General features: G+C 53.2%; 2 protein-coding genes across 18 annotated transcripts in view, besides 9 other annotated features; one reads left to right on the top strand and one right to left on the bottom strand.

The window, feature by feature from the left end:
• The window catches only part of SETDB1 (SET domain bifurcated histone lysine methyltransferase 1), a 38,475-nt gene extending 35,709 nt beyond the window's left edge, over positions 1-2,766 (top strand). For 12 of the 14 annotated variants that reach the window (NR_172060.1, NM_001366417.1, NM_001393960.1 and 9 more), the window contains 6 exons: positions 159-187; positions 616-748; positions 1,003-1,168; positions 1,559-1,770; positions 2,024-2,112; positions 2,276-2,766. Coding sequence is in view for 13 of the 14 variants with exons in the window: in NM_001366417.1 (NP_001353346.1) it covers positions 159-187; positions 616-748; positions 1,003-1,168; positions 1,559-1,770; positions 2,024-2,112; positions 2,276-2,393 (747 nt within the window). In the remaining variant the exon portion in view is untranslated. The remainder of the gene's footprint in view (positions 1-158; positions 188-615; positions 749-1,002; positions 1,169-1,558; positions 1,771-2,023; positions 2,113-2,275) is intronic. The other 2 variants (NM_001393961.1, NM_012432.4) reach the window with 1 other exon arrangement.
• Positions 2,810-2,954: an enhancer, noted in NCBI's record as "145 bp 1:150937329 sequence used in MPRA reporter constructs". NCBI's record gives its function as "activates a minimal TATA-containing promoter with rs4451553 allelic activity by MPRAs in UACC903 melanoma cells {active_cell/tissue: UACC903}" and the evidence as "EXISTENCE:reporter gene assay evidence [ECO:0000049][PMID:36423637]".
• Position 2,882: a transcriptional cis regulatory region, noted in NCBI's record as "rs4451553 or 1:150937329 MPRA-significant variant associated with a GWAS melanoma risk locus at 1q21.3". NCBI's record gives its function as "allelic transcriptional activity by MPRAs in UACC903 melanoma cells {active_cell/tissue: UACC903}" and the evidence as "EXISTENCE:reporter gene assay evidence [ECO:0000049][PMID:36423637]".
• On the bottom strand, positions 3,215-12,864 carry CERS2 (ceramide synthase 2). Of its 4 annotated transcripts, none has more exons than NM_022075.5 (11): positions 12,648-12,864; positions 6,947-7,120; positions 6,424-6,541; positions 6,112-6,230; positions 5,849-5,906; positions 5,693-5,743; positions 5,421-5,513; positions 5,103-5,231; positions 4,785-4,891; positions 4,505-4,658; positions 3,215-4,317 (listed from the first exon to the last, which is right to left on the bottom strand). In NM_022075.5, exons 2-11 carry the CDS (start codon positions 7,117-7,119, stop codon positions 4,177-4,179), a joined length of 1,143 nt encoding a protein of 380 aa, NP_071358.1. In that variant the 5' UTR covers position 7,120; positions 12,648-12,864; the 3' UTR covers positions 3,215-4,176. The 4 variants fall into 4 exon arrangements, with proteins under 4 accessions (NP_071358.1, NP_859530.1, XP_011507754.1 ...); NM_181746.4 differs by having other exon boundaries at positions 6,947-7,160; XM_011509452.4 differs by lacking the exon at positions 12,648-12,864 and adding an exon at positions 12,347-12,483.
• Positions 3,447-3,591: an enhancer, noted in NCBI's record as "145 bp 1:150937964 sequence used in MPRA reporter constructs". NCBI's record gives its function as "activates a minimal TATA-containing promoter with rs3835665 allelic activity by MPRAs in C283T melanocytes and UACC903 melanoma cells {active_cell/tissue: C283T | UACC903}" and the evidence as "EXISTENCE:reporter gene assay evidence [ECO:0000049][PMID:36423637]".
• Position 3,518: a transcriptional cis regulatory region, noted in NCBI's record as "rs3835665 or 1:150937964 MPRA-significant variant associated with a GWAS melanoma risk locus at 1q21.3". NCBI's record gives its function as "allelic transcriptional activity by MPRAs in C283T melanocytes and UACC903 melanoma cells {active_cell/tissue: C283T | UACC903}" and the evidence as "EXISTENCE:reporter gene assay evidence [ECO:0000049][PMID:36423637]".
• Positions 11,082-12,013: an enhancer, noted in NCBI's record as "H3K27ac-H3K4me1 hESC enhancer chr1:150945529-150946460 (GRCh37/hg19 assembly coordinates)". NCBI's record gives its function as "activates a minimal SCP1, AML or CMV promoter by ChIP-STARR-seq in naive H9 embryonic stem cells {active_cell/tissue: H9 hESC(naive)}" and the evidence as "EXISTENCE:reporter gene assay evidence [ECO:0000049][PMID:30033119]".
• Positions 11,971-12,115: an enhancer, noted in NCBI's record as "145 bp 1:150946490 sequence used in MPRA reporter constructs". NCBI's record gives its function as "activates a minimal TATA-containing promoter with rs6677420 allelic activity by MPRAs in C283T melanocytes {active_cell/tissue: C283T}" and the evidence as "EXISTENCE:reporter gene assay evidence [ECO:0000049][PMID:36423637]".
• Position 12,043: a transcriptional cis regulatory region, noted in NCBI's record as "rs6677420 or 1:150946490 MPRA-significant variant associated with a GWAS melanoma risk locus at 1q21.3". NCBI's record gives its function as "allelic transcriptional activity by MPRAs in C283T melanocytes {active_cell/tissue: C283T}" and the evidence as "EXISTENCE:reporter gene assay evidence [ECO:0000049][PMID:36423637]".
• Positions 12,219-12,708: a silencer, noted in NCBI's record as "silent region_1307". NCBI's record gives its function as "represses an Ori minimal core promoter by ATAC-STARR-seq in GM12878 lymphoblastoid cells {active_cell/tissue: GM12878}" and the evidence as "EXISTENCE:reporter gene assay evidence [ECO:0000049][PMID:35858748]".
• Positions 12,729-13,168: a silencer, noted in NCBI's record as "silent region_1308". NCBI's record gives its function as "represses an Ori minimal core promoter by ATAC-STARR-seq in GM12878 lymphoblastoid cells {active_cell/tissue: GM12878}" and the evidence as "EXISTENCE:reporter gene assay evidence [ECO:0000049][PMID:35858748]".

Consider the following 14,557-nt stretch of genomic DNA (forward strand, 5'->3'; position numbering starts at 1 on the left):
AGGATTTCTGTCAAGTTGCAGAGTGGTTTACCCACCCCACTTTAGAATGTGTACCTGTCACTGGCTGATGTTATCTGTGGAGGTCATTTGAAGTCTGATTATTGGACTTGTTACCCGAGGCTGTGAAAGCATTTAACCCTTCACTTGTTCTTTTCCAGGACACTGACGACCGAAACAAGATGTCAGTGTAAGTGCCTTTTGTTTTGTTTTGTTTTGAGACAGAGTCTTGCTTTGTCACCCAGGCTGGAGTGCAGTGGCGTAATCTCAGCTCATTGCAACCTCCCCCTCCCAGGCTCAAGAGATTCTCCCACCTCAGCCTCCCTAGTAGCTGGGACTACGGGTGTGCACCACCATGCCTGGCTAGTTTTTGTATTTTTTGTAGACACGGGGTTTCACCATGTTTCCCAGACTGGTCTTGAACTCCTGGGCTCAAGCGATGCTCCCAAAGGGGATCCTCAGCCTCCCAAAGTGCTGGGATTACAGCCATGAGCTACCGTGTCCAGCCCAGTGCCTGTCTTTTTGACCTGTCTCCAAATCTGCCTTCTCTCAAACCTAGGCTAGAAGCCTAAGAAACAGCCAGTAACCTGTTGGCTTCATTCCTTCCCCTCCCATTAGAGTTACTGAAAGCTCTCGAAATTACGGTTACAATCCTTCTCCTGTGAAGCCTGAAGGACTTCGCCGCCCACCTAGTAAGACTAGTATGCATCAAAGCCGAAGACTCATGGCTTCTGCTCAGTCCAACCCTGATGTAAGTCACCTCAAGCTTATTCAGAGTCTAATAAAGGAAAATGGGCCATTGTCACCTCATCAAGTCCTTCACTATAATTACTGTTAGGTCTTCTCCTACTTCTTTAGCCTTGACTTCCTGCCTTATTTTCTTTCATCCAGCATCTAATCTTCCTCTTGCCACCGCCCTTTCCTGCCAAACCGTGGGTAACAGCAAGGACTTAAAGGAGCCCTTCCCATTTACTTCTCTTACTTCTTACCCTCCTGCTTCCCCAGGATGTCCTGACACTGTCCAGCAGCACAGAAAGTGAGGGGGAAAGTGGGACCAGCCGAAAGCCCACTGCTGGTCAGACTTCGGCTACAGCGGTTGACAGTGATGATATCCAGACCATATCCTCTGGCTCTGAAGGGGATGACTTTGAGGACAAGAAGAACATGACTGGTAGCCTGGAAAAATTTTGGGAATGGTGGGAAGAAATAGTAAGAAACTTGGGATAGAGCATTTTTTAAGGAAGCTAAAGAAGTAGTGGGTAAAAATTCAGATCCTAAGAATTGGAGCATCTCTGGGAGGGCTTTCTGACTCCAAGCTAAACTATTGTTTGACACATCCTCTCTCATTTCCATTTTTTTACTCTTTCCCCTCAGCTCCTTTGTCTAGCAGATCTAATTATGCTTGAAAAAAAAACCTGCTACTTAGGATCTTTGAGTTCCAGCTTATTGGTGTTTCTCAGCTGCAATGTTGGGAGAGAAATAGGGGTAGAATGTCCATTCATGATAGAATGTCTGTTCATGAGTTGGGATGGGTCCTGACCCCATTCTCCCTCCTGTCCAGGTCCAATGAAGCGTCAAGTGGCAGTAAAATCAACCCGAGGCTTTGCTCTTAAATCAACCCATGGGATTGCAATTAAATCAACCAACATGGCCTCTGTGGACAAGGGGGAGAGCGCACCTGTTCGTAAGAACACACGCCAATTCTATGATGGCGAGGAGTCTTGCTACATCATTGATGCCAAGCTTGAAGGCAACCTGGGCCGCTACCTCAACGTGAGACCCCTCTCCCCACCTCTAGATGCTGGATTATCCCATGGTCCTCAGATTTCTTTTAACATACTCTATAAGCCCTTTTCTTGTTATAAACTCTTGATCTCAAAGGATCTTAAAGAGGTAGCTTTCTTTCAAAGCATCTATTATAATGGGGAGGGTCAGATGGCATCATTTTTCTTCCAACTCTCACTCTCCCTGCAAAGCCAGGTTCAGTTTCCCTGGTTCTTATTTGATCCTGTCCTTAAACCTACAGCACAGTTGCAGCCCCAACCTGTTTGTCCAGAATGTCTTCGTGGATACCCATGATCTTCGCTTCCCCTGGGTGGCCTTCTTTGCCAGCAAGTAAGGAGTCAGGAAAGGGGATGACTGGGGAGGGGCAAGGACCACTGAAGTTCTAAGGGCCCCTCCTCCATTCATGATCCAACTCCACCTACATATTCAGTAACCCCAAGTGCCTGGGTTATCTGCTGTCTTTGCCACACACCATCCTTTTCTTCCTCTTCAGAAGAATCCGGGCTGGGACAGAACTTACTTGGGACTACAACTACGAGGTGGGCAGTGTGGAAGGCAAGGAGCTACTCTGTTGCTGTGGGGCCATTGAATGCAGAGGACGTCTTCTTTAGAGGACAGCCTTCTTCCCAACCCTTCTTGAACTGTCGTTTCCTCAGGAACTGGGTCTTCCTGATTGTTGAACCCTGACCCGAAGTCTCTGGGCTAGCTACTCCCCCCAGCTCCTAGTTGATAGAAATGGGGGTTCTGGACCAGATGATCCCTTCCAATGTGGTGCTAGCAGGCAGGATCCCTTCTCCACCTCCAAAGGCCCTAAAGGGTGGGGAGAGATCACCACTCTAACCTCGGCCTGACATCCCTCCCATCCCATATTTGTCCAAGTGTTCCTGCTTCTAACAGACTTTGTTCTTAGAATGGAGCCTGTGTATCTACTATCTCCAGTTTGTATTATTTCTTGAAAGTCTTTTAACAATATGATAAAACTAAGATTGTGGTTTTGTTTCTCTCTCTCAGCCCGATACTCCCAATTCTGGATCTTTCAGTGAGGTATTATCCCCATCCTCCCCTGTGGGCTGCTGTCATTCATCTTCTACCTTGTCTACCTTTGCTTCTTGCATGTGAATTTTTTTAGATGGAGTTCTCGCTCTGTCACCCAGGCTGGAGTGCAATGGTGCAATCTCGACTCACTGCAGCCTCCGCCTCCCGGGTTCAGGTGATTCTCCTGCCTCAGCCTCCTAAGTAGCTGAGATTACAGTCGCCCGCCACCACACCCAGCTAGATGTATTTTTAGTAGAGATGGGGTTTCGCCATGTTGGCCAGGCTGGTCTCAAACTCCTGACCTCTAGTGATCCACCCTCCTTGGCCCCTCAAAGTGCTCAAATTACATGCATGTGAAATTTAAAAAAGAAAATATTACATAACTGCAAGGAAGGCATAAGAAAGACTCTCTTCGTTTATTTAGTTGATCCCCCTTCTCAATTCCTAATAGTCTGACACTTATTGCCATGTTTTATTTAATATTTTTTATTTAATCTTTTAATTTTTAAAAAAAACCCATTAACAGTACATTTTGGTCTAAAATGGTCCCTCTGCTGAAATGCTAGGTGCTAGCCGTAATTCTGGCTTTAAAACCAAAACCCCAAATATTTAATAAATAAAAATTAGAATTAGTTGCCATTCTACTCCAAACCAGCTAGCCTAGCTGAAGAGAAGAGGGAAGGGGGAAGAGGCCAGAGAAAGGAGGAGGCAGTCAGATCTTAGACCTGTCGCTACAGGGACAGCTGAAAGAAGTAGCACTAAGAAAGATCATCCGAGCAGTCCCCAGTACAGCCCCCACTTTTTGGCAGAGGTAGGGTAAGGGTTATGTGCACCCTCCTCCTACCCTCAATTCATTTGTGTCATAGAGGGAGAAAGTTAAAAGCTCAGCTTTGGTTTCTGGCCCAAGTTAGGGAGCTTAGAAAGGTTAGCCTTGGTCCAGCTTTGGCAGAATGAGGCCCACAGATGGGACAATAAGGCACAACCCTGGCTCTGGAGGTCAGGGAGTCAAAGGCAAACAGCTGGGGCCAAATTCTCAGAATAAGGAATGTGAATTGTAACCCCTACCCACAGAGAGCTGAGGGAGGGCCTCAAAAGCAGTAGAAAGGATGACTTGGCGGGTAGGGAGGAAAATACGACCGTCCCCCTCTAACAGAATATAACCAACGTCCCCCTACCTGGGGATAGGCTGGTTAGAATTTGGTTTAAAGGCAACTGGGTGACAAGCAAGGAGGGAGGATGCAGAGAACTCTCCTCTCACTTTCTCCTTTTTCCCCAGAGCTTAAAGTGACCCTATAGCGCAGGGAGCGGGGTAGTTCCTTGGCTTTATGCATTAATCTGGGAGGCAGCTGGAGTAATGGTTCAGTCATTCTTACGATGGTTGTTATTGAGGATGGGGTGGCCATTGGCTAGGGGCCGGCTCTTTGCTCCTCCCCCAGCTGCAGCCTCCTCCCCCTCTGAGCTCTCTGTTTCTTCCCGGTCACTGCGTTCATCTTCTACCAGCTGTGGAAAAGGGACAAGAAGGGTTATTACATGAGATCCTCAAACCCCTAAGTACTGCTTCTCTCTGAGGGCTTGTTCCTGTTATACCCAGGGCTCCACACTAGTTTTTTAGAGAGTTACTGGCAAGATGGGAGTTCAGGAAGTTGTAGAGAGTAGTAAGGCCTACACAATGGGAACAGGGCTTCACCTTTCCAGTTATGAACTTGTGGGCCATGCGCAAAATGAGGTAGGCCCAGAAGATATGCAGCAGCTGTAGAACTCCCATCATGGAATTGAAGAAGTAATAGCCAAAGAAGGCAGGATAGAGCTCCAGTGGGTACACCAGGGTGCAATGCAGGATCCTGAGGATTCAAGGAGAGAGAGAACGTGGACAAGAGCAGGTCAGACACCGGGGAGATACAGGAGGGGAAGAAAGGCAAGGCTCCTGATTTCTTCAGAACAGGAGTGTAGCCTAGCTGCCTACTCACCAGAAGGGCAGGATGACCAGTCGGGTGATGATAAAAACAATGGCGAAGACGATGAAGATGTTGTTGCAGGTGTTCTTCCATCCCGCGTAGTTAAACATCTTGGCTGACTGCATAGAGAGCCCCCATCCATCATCATGGGCTCCTGACTCCCTCGAGTACATTCATATGTACACTCCAGTTAGGAGCACTGACTCTGTGCCCTCCTCCTTGGTCCCAGGAATGTCATCCTCCAAATTCCCACCCCGCACCTCCCTCCCAAAGAAAACCAAAGGGACAGAAGAACCTGCACCAGGGTCTCTAGATTTGAGGAAGCCTGACCTCCAGCAGGTAATCGGAAGAGTCATGCAGAGCCATGATTAGAGTCCCAGCTCGGATGTAATTGGCAAACCAGGAAAAGCTGATGAGAATGATGGTGGCCACATGGTGGATGATCTGTTCCTTGAAATCCTGCAGAGATGATGCAGGCCCCAGGGCCTTTTTTTATTCCCCAGCTCTCACTATGCCTTCTTACCCCTTGCCTTTGGTTCCCCATATACCAACAGCTCCATTCAGAGTACCCAGAAGTCAAAGGAGAGGGTGTTCATCCCAGGGCCTCATTTTGGCTCTGAGGCTTAATTGCACAACCCCTTCACCCACCTTTCGCTTGACATCAGAGGCAATGCTGAAGAGCAGGGACCAGTAGAAGGAAAGTTCAATCATGTAGTACCAATACTGGGAAGGGATAGTGCTCTGGGAGAGGAGAGAGAGGTAAGAGCAACCAGCCGCAAGGGTGTCCCCACTCCACAAACCCCCTAGCCCCTGAGGTTCTTCATTCCATCACTCTAATCCCTCTGCCATGGATTCCACAAACCGTCTCTTCACTAGGGTGTGTCTTAGTCCACCCCCACATGAGGAAGCAGAACTCATACCTGTATGGGATATCCCTCCCAAACTTTCTTCATGTCATAGAACCAGGGTTTCTGCAGAGAGATGGTGAGAAGTTAAAAGAGGAGGAACCCAAATTCCATGGCCTCACCTGACCTTGCCAGAGAACCTACTCCCACCTCCCAGTAATCCCCACTCACATCCACAATGACGGCCATGCCGGCAATGAAGGCAATCAGGTAAAATGTGAATCTCCAGCTGGCAGAGGAAGCAGAAATGGCTAGGTCAGAGGATAGCACAGTCCCCCAGCAGCCCCCAAATACCTGCAGATACCCTCACAAGATACCATTAATAACTGAATTCACCTCCTCACATCTCCCTGCGTATAGCCACCGCCTATCCCTCCCAGCAAGACACATCAGGATATTCCTTGTCACCCAGCTTCTGCCCCAGCCTCCCCCACCTGGCTTCTCGGAACTTCTTGAGGAGACTGGGCCGGTCCTGGTTGCGGCGGCGACGGAACCAACGCTCTACCTGGCGGCCAGAGAGCCCGCTCTGCCGGGACAAAAGCTCTACTTCCACCTGGGCACAGTGAAGAAGCCCATTGTTATGTTTACCTTCGGAACTCAGCAGCATCCCCAGCCTCTCCCAGTAACAACCTCAGTCAGCACCACTGCTTCCCCATCTCTTCACCTGCCAGAGCTAACATTCAAACCCTGTCCCCCCACCACCAAACTCAGTGATTCCCAGAGCCAGAGCAGCATGCGGCTCATACCTGCTTGGGCTGCTTGCCACTGGTCAGGTAGAAATGTTCCAAGGTGGCGTTGGGAGGTGCCCGCAGCCGAGTTTTCTCCTTTATGTTCAAGAGGGCAGCCAGTGGTGTAGCCACGTACCTGGGGAAGGGATATGAGTAAGGTATCTAGCTTGCTGGGAAGGGAAAGGGCTGCAAGCTAAGGCAACTTTACCCTGGCCTCAGTTTCCCCAGCTTCCTGGCAACCCCCTTTTCTCTAGCCTCCAGGGCTGCCCACAGCTGACAAAGCTGCCTGTGTGTTCACTAGTGGCCAGGCGGGCGGCGGGTAGAGGGTGAGAACAAATAACCATTGATGGAAAGGGCCTGGGGGTGCTGAGCCTTCAGGAAGACAATGGTGCCTTCAGGGGAGGGGGTGCACAGTGGGCAGGAACCTGAGTAGCCAGAACATCAGGGTCAAGGGCTAATTAAACAGCAAGGAACAAACTTGAAGTCCAAGAAACTGCAACTGGCAACAGGGGAAGGCATGAGGGTAGGCTGGCATGCTTACAGCTCAAAGAAGTATCGAACGATGAGGAAGAGCAAGGCCAGGGGCAGCGTGATATAGAGATCTGAGGCTTTGGCGTAGACACGTCCATCTCGGTCTTCTAGATCGGCCCAGGTCAAGTTCACAGGCAGCCACAGACGTTCCCACCAGAAGTAATCATACAAGGTCTGGAGCATCCTGAGTGAGGGGCAAAGGGGAGGGCATCAAGAGGGAGTAGCTATGGAGGAAGAGATAGATGAATAAAAGTTTTCAGGATGTATCAAAAGGAGAAGGGGGCAGAGAGTCGAACTCTAGATCCCTATCCTGGCTATGTAGCCTTGGGCAAATCAGTTTCCTCATCTGTAATACGGTGGCTTTCCAGTTTTAACATTTACTGTTAGGCCGGCCGTGATGGCTCATGCCTGTGGTCCCAGCACTTTGGGAGGCCGAGGCTGGCAGATCACGAGGTCAGGAGTTCGAGACCAGCCTGGCCAACATGGCGAAACCTCATCTCTACTAAAAATACAAAAAACTAGCTGGGTGTGGTGGCGGGCGCCTATAGTCCCAGCTACTCAGGAGGCTGAGGCAGGAGAATCGCTTGAACCCAGGAGGCAGAGGTTGCAGTGAGCCGGAATCACGCCATTGCACTCTAGCCTAGGTGACAGCGAGACTGTCTCAAAAAAAAAAAAAAAGCATTTATTGTCTACAGCAACCTGCAGACGTGATTCCCTGGAATTAAGAAACTTGGGGTCCTTACAACCTCTGATTTCGGGGAGTGGGGGAAGAACCTTGGGGGTCTTGTCATTTTGCTATCTTAACCTGCAAGACAGGCAGGACCTGGCCCTAGAAGCTGTAGCCAACAATCTGAGTAAAGTCCCTCCCTTATCCCCCTACACTCTGGCCACTTCCTCGAGCCTCCAAGCCAACTCAGCTGAAAGCTTCCAGGGGGTGCCCCAAAACATTGCAGGGCTGAGGCAAACCCTTCTTCCCCTTCCCTACAACCTACAACCCATCTGAGTAGCAAGTCCCTAAAGAAAAATTAAGAGACAGGGTAGGCTGGGCAGTAGCTCACGCCTGAAATCCCAGCACTTTGGGAGACCAAGGCAGGCTGATCACTTGAGCTCAGGAGTTTGAGACCAGCCTGGGCAACACGGTGAAACCCCATCTCTACAAAAAATACAAAAATTAGCTGGATGTGGTGGCACATGCCTGTAATCCCAGCTACTCAGGAGGCTGAGGTGGGAGGATCACTTGAGCCTGGGAGGTGAAGGTTGCAGTGAGCCATGCTCTTGCCACTGCACTCCAGCCTGGGTAACACAGTGAGACTCTGTCTCAAAAAAAAAAAAAAAAAAAAAAAAGCCAAGGTAAAGCAAAATTATGTCCCCAAATGACACTGAGCTCCACAATCACTGGACATCGAACTACTGCACACAAGGTTGACACTCCATGCCAAGCCATCTAGTCCCTACACACAAGGCAGAAGGACCCTATGTATAACTCTTCAGAAAGAAAAGTGAAGGTAGGGCTGCAAAGAGTCAGGGATTGTGGGGCAGGGAACCAAGAGAGCGGACCAATACATCTGATGGAATTAAGAGCTATTCTTTTATTTTCTTTTGAGACAGGGTCTTCCTCTGTCACCCAAGCTGGAGTGCAGTGGTACAATCACAGCTCACTGCAACCTCCACCTCCCAGGTTCAAGCCATCCTCCCCTCCTGCCTCAGCCTCCCGAGTGCCTGGGGCTATGAGTAGCATGCACTACCAAGTAGCACACACCACATCTGGCTAATTTTTGAATTTTTTTTTTGGTAGAAACAGGGTTTTGCCATGTTGCCCAGACTGGTCTTGAACTCCTGGGCTCAAGCAACCTGCCAGCCTTGGCCTCCCAAAGTGCTGGGATTACAGGCATGAGCCACGGTGCCTGGTCAGAGCTATTTCGTATAAATGCTCATCCAGAAAACAGAATCCTAGTCTGCAGGGGAACACCCATACCCTCTCAGTCTAGGAAAGAGCCGCTATGTAAACCTCCTCCCCCAACTGAAAGACGAACAACATGGTGGGAGTGACCACTTGGATACCCAGAGGAGGGAGGGAACGGTCAGACGTGTGTGGCTCATGAGGGAAGAGCAGCTGCTTGAAGCTGAGAGGAATGGCAAGATGGTCCAGGAGAGCCAGGGATGCTGGGTCCAGCAAACACCTGGCAATCCTAGGACTCAGCAAGAAGCCGCAGCAGGATGACCATGACAGTCTTTTCCAGGCTCCCCACCCCTTGTTCTCCTGGGAAGGAGATGAGGCGGTGGGATTTAGGCTGGCCCAGAAAGTGAAAGCAGAGACAGGAAGAAAAGAGAGTGGTGAAATTGTTATCCACAGTGACCTGGAGACTAGTTGGTGCCACTGACTGAAGACAGAGCCTGAGACCACAGCTGGGCTGGGCTGGTCCTGCTGCTGCTCTGACAGCTCCCGCTCCACCCCCACCCACCACTGTAGCCCTTGCGAAATCCCTCAGCCTGTCACGGGTCAGTATTCCAGCTCAAGGACTTTACCCCCTTGTCCCCACTCCTGGTCACTGCTCTCTCGGATGAAATCAGAGGTCAGCACTGCCAGTAAAGGAGCTTCAGCTCCACCTTCTCCCCTCCTCCTCCCCCAAATCACACACACACATTCCAGACACTGCCCCTGCCCCCTCCACCTCAGCCAGAATAAATATTTAATTAAACAGATGGAAGCCTTCTGAACTGAACAAAATTAAATGTAATTATCCACAGTGGAACTTTCCCCACACAAACACACACTTTTTTCCTAGAGAAAAGTTGTAGAAAATTGAATAAAGAAGGGACAAGGGTAGAAAATGCACAGAGAAGGGACAATGCGGAACACTTTGATGTGTGCACATGGCCCCCTCTTCCCACTTTTTTGCTCAGCCTGATTGGAAGCGAGAAATCAGCCTGACCCAGTCACCTGACTGCTGTCTCTTGGAGCCCAACTTCTCCAGGGAAATGTAAAGCCAAAGGTACCATGTTGCCCTGGCAGTCCTAGACTTCAGATCCCATCCCCAACCAGGTCTGTGAAAACTGGCAGGGATGTTTCTCTAGTCAGGCGGCAGGCTGGAGTCGCAGAGGGAGGGTGGAGCCCCTGCTGGACTCCTGGGGCCCAGGAATGTCTCATGCCTGCAAAACAGGGGGTGGGGGGCAGGCAAAGTAGGCACTAGAGCATGGTCAAGGACAGACACCTGGGCAGTGCAACTTCCTCATCCCCAAGATGAGATAGCGCCTGTCCTCTTCCACTCCAAGCAGGGAGAGTGGAAGACTTGGGAAATGCAGATTAATGGGGGCTTTTACACTGAGGTTGCAGGCTTCCCATGACCACAGCCCTCCCTGGTGGTCCTGCACCTCCATTAGCAGAGAGGCACTACCCCCATCTCCCCAGCAGGGAGGCCCCAGATTCAGCAGGGTCAGGACCTCTGACTCAACATGAAGAGAGGGGAGGACAGCTGGGGCCTGGCCGGCCTCACTTACACATCCCCACAGAACCAAAGAGTTGGGTCCCTGTGGCAGTACTGGGGAGGCCTCTTAGCACCAGCACACAGATCCAAGCAAGACCCCATAAACAAGAGGCTGGGGCAAGAAAAGCTGAAGTGTACACACGGTAAGGAGACAACCCTGTTTTTCCAGGCCCCCTGGGCCTTCAGGGCAGTTACTTGACTTCTTATGGAGAAAATCACATCTAGAAACACTTTTCCACCCAGACTTCACTCCCCCATACACATGAAGAGACATGGTATCTGTCTACGCTCTCTCTCACACACACCTGCCTTGGAGGCACAGATGCCACTTTCTGAGGCACAGGCTGGAGAGGGGCCAGAAGAGCAGGGATTTAACTGGCATTAGATTAGCAGGAACTTGAGCAGGACTCTGTCCAGCCCCAACCTTTGCCCCAACTCTGACTGACACCCCCACAAGACCCCTCTAGGTGGATGAAAGGAGCAGAGGATCCCCATGGGAGTTTGTAGATCCAAACGGCTGAGAAGGCAGAAGTTTCGGCCTGAGAGGAAGGAATTCTCTCAGACTCCAGGTGGTCAGTCTGACTGGCTCTCATAGTTTGGAAGAATAACTGAGGAAAATAGAAAGGAGTTGTTGACAAGGGAGGAGTGACAAAGGTCCCACCGGCTCCCTGCTTCCACTGAAGAAGTCCTGAATAGTCTTCCTTGTTGAAAACTTTCAGGCAACAGAAGCAGGTCATGTACTAGAAGTCTACAAGCCATGGATGGAGCCAATGAGAGGTGTGTTATCCCTCCAGGCTGCAGGATGGGCCTCAAAATAAGCCAGATTGTAAAAAAGAGGTGGGTGAGAGGCAGTCAGAACAGTAGTCCTCAGCCTCATCTGGCCTACAGCTTGTCTGCAAAGTCCCACCAAAGGCCTCCACGGACCAAAACACTGCATGAGACTATGGCCCCAGGGGCAGGGAGACGCCGGTGGGTTTGAGAGACAGCTGGGGCGGTGTTGAAGGACACAGTGAGGGATCAGCCAGCCTATGGCCAGTGACAGGGGTAAAAGGAGGCCCTTCCTCCCAGGGGAAAATCTGGCCAGAGGCCCCAGTGAGGGAAGTGGGGGACCAGGGGAGAAAAGGATCCCTCTCTGGAACAGACTGTGCAGATCACGGTATGGTCAGCGCCAGGTCCTCAGGGACAGGACTGCAGGCAAGTCCTTACCCTTAGGAGCCCCTTTACATGTGCAGCCACTCACACCCCGGTGCGGTCATCCCGACTCCGGTATGCGGCAGCAACCGCCACCCACCCCTGCCCCAGCACAGATATGGGGGTGACTGCCTGCTGGAGGCCTGCTCGGACTCACTTCTCCAGGAACAGGGGCTCACTGCATTCGCCACGATCCTCAGAACCCCCTGAACCTGGGCCTGGCAACTCAGGTGACTGAAACCAGGTTTTGATGCCAGGAGCTAGGCTTAGGGAGGGAGAGACTCCAACTGCAGGCTAAAGATGAGTGCTCTACACCTGCAGTCAACCCACTTGCCACGGGCCTCTAGTGATTAACAAGCTACGGCCCAGAAAGCCAGTTCCACCAGGAGCTCCCTTGCCAGCCATCCACACCTCATAACGGTATGCCTTAGCCCTACCGGGCCGGGGCAGGCGCTCCGGGCCGCTCCTTCCTGTTTCCCGTTAAGCACATGGAAGCTCTGACCTCGCCTGCGAGGTGGGCACGGTGGGCCGGTAGGAAGAAAACGGGGCAGGGCCCTCCCCTCTCCTCCCACCCAAGCCACAGGACGCGTCCAGGCCAGGGCAACCCCGCGGGCCGCTGCCAGGGTGGAGGCTCTCGCGCCAATGGTCACCAAGCTCCTCCACTCCCCAACAAAGGGAAGCCCACGGCTCGGCCCCGTCGCCCGCAGCCCCCGCGTCCCCACCTTCCGCCCTACCTGTTGCCCGGGAAAGCTTCTCCGGCTCAGGGCGGCGCTGCCGCGGACACCGCGGCGCCAGGCCCGCCGGCCCCGGCCGCTCCCTTGAGGCGCTGCGCCCGCCTTACCCGGCGGCCGCCGCCATGAGCGCCCGCAGCGCCCCCCGCCAGCGCCGCCTCCCTCCTCGCCCCGGCCCCGCGGCCTTCCCAGCCCGACCCCTCCGCGGCCCCGCGACAAAGCGGCACCCGGGGCTCCCAACTTTTCCGCAGCCCCTTCCCACCCCCGCGCGGGGCTCGGGCGCCGGGCGGGGGCCCCGACTCACCCGGCGGCAGCGTTGGCGGGGCCGGGGCCGCTGCTCCGTGTACTCCGTCTGCTCGGGTGGTTGCTCCGAGGCCCCGAGGCCTGGCTCCCCGCGCCTCTCCTCCCTCTTCCGCCCGCCCGCCGGCCCGCGCCCGCCCTCGCCCTCCCTCCTCCGCCAGCCGCCGGCGCCGCCGCCGCCGCCCGCCGAGCCCAGTCGAGCTGAGCCCGAGCCCAGCCGGGAAAAAAAGGCCGCGAGCAGCCCAAGGGCCGGGAGGCTGGGCGTGACGGGAGGGGAGGGCGGGGCGGGCCTCTGCGCTGCGGCTGCCCCTTCGCCCCGGCGCGGGAGGCCAGACCCCAACCCTCCGCTCCCGGCCCCACAGCCGCGTCCACGCCCGTCACCTTGCGCTAGAGAAACCGCCGACCTGGGGAGGCGGGTGCGGGCTCCTTCCGCCACTTCGGTCTCTTTTCGGGGTGGGAGGTCTCCCACTGGGACCGACACAGACGCACTGGATGCCGCGGGGTCCCGGGCTCCGAGCGGCGGTGTCCCTGTCCCCTTACTCCTACCCACCCCCACCCACCCCCAACTGCTGTGCGGCCCCCGGTCCCCGCCAGGGTGGGCACATTCCCACTTCCAGCCCCACGGGGCGCGGGCGGAGGAGGGTGCAGCCCGGGGATCCTGCCCAAGTGCCTCGCGCCGAAGCTGAAAACCTCTCCAGGGCAGACCGAAGCAGCCGACCCTCGAGACCCAGTCGGAGCCTGCGATCACTCGGGCGACCCTCGCCTACCCCGCCGTAAAAGCCGCGGCCTTTCCACCTAGGTGCTACGGGACCTACCCCCGTGGCAAGGAAGAGCAAACCCGAACTTGCGCACACCCGGCGGCCCTGTCTGAAAGAGCCACCCCAACTTTTGTTTTGTAAAATGTATGAGTTTTCAAATGACACCACGTTTATCCGTATTCGATTTCGTGTTAAAAAGTGTTTTCCGGCCGGGCGCGGTGGCTCACGCCTGTAATCCCAGCACTTTGGGAGGCCGAGGCGGGCAGATCACCTGAGGTCAGGCGTTCGAGACCACCCTGGCCAACATGGTTAAACCCTGTCTCTACTAAAAATACAAAAATTAGCCGGGCACGGTGGCTCGCGCTTGTAATCCCAGCTACTCGGGAGGCTGAGCCACGAGAATCGCTTGAACCCTGGAGGTGGAGTTTGCAGTGAGCCGAGATCTCGCCACTGCACTCCAGCCTGGGCGACAGAGTGAGACTCCGTCTCAGGAAAAAAAAAAAAAAAGTGTTCTCCCCTTGGCCTGGCGCCGTGGCTTATGCCTGTAATCTCAGCACTTTGGGTGGCCGAGGTGGGCAGATCACTTGAGGTCAGAGTTCAAGACCAGCCTGGTCAACATAGCGAGACCCCCAACTCCTTTATAAATTTAAAAAAAAAAAGTTTTCCCCTTGAGTCGTGTGGTAAAATTACTGTTTCAGAAGTAATTACTGTTGGAAGATGCAACATGGTTTTCCTAGAAAGCTGGTCTTAACTCCTAACGTGAACGAGTGGTGACTAAGATGTATTTGAGGGCTCCTATACAGGGAGAGCTGCAGCTTACTCCATGGAGAGGTACTTTTGTCAAATTTCTCACCTAGATGAAGTATTGCCTTTTTTATGCTGTTGCAATCAGAGCCTCTGACAGTAGCTTGTTTCCCCGTTTATCTGGTCAAGTACTCGTAGGAAGGAGTGCAACCCCCACTAATCCAGTTGGAGGGCCCATCCCTCATCTCAGGCCCTTTCTGGAGGGTAAGGAGGTAGAGGCTGTCCGACCCAACTGTTTGTTCTGCCTCTCTTTTCAGGGGGACCCGCAGCCCTGACACACCATGGGAAAGATGAGAGTGGTGGCCCCTAACCAGCTCCCAGGGTTTCTCTAGGCTTTTCTAAGCCCCAGGCC

Source organism: Homo sapiens, chromosome 1 (assembly GCF_000001405.40).
Source record: "Homo sapiens chromosome 1, GRCh38.p14 Primary Assembly".
In the NCBI taxonomy this organism is placed as follows: domain Eukaryota; kingdom Metazoa; phylum Chordata; class Mammalia; order Primates; family Hominidae; genus Homo; species Homo sapiens.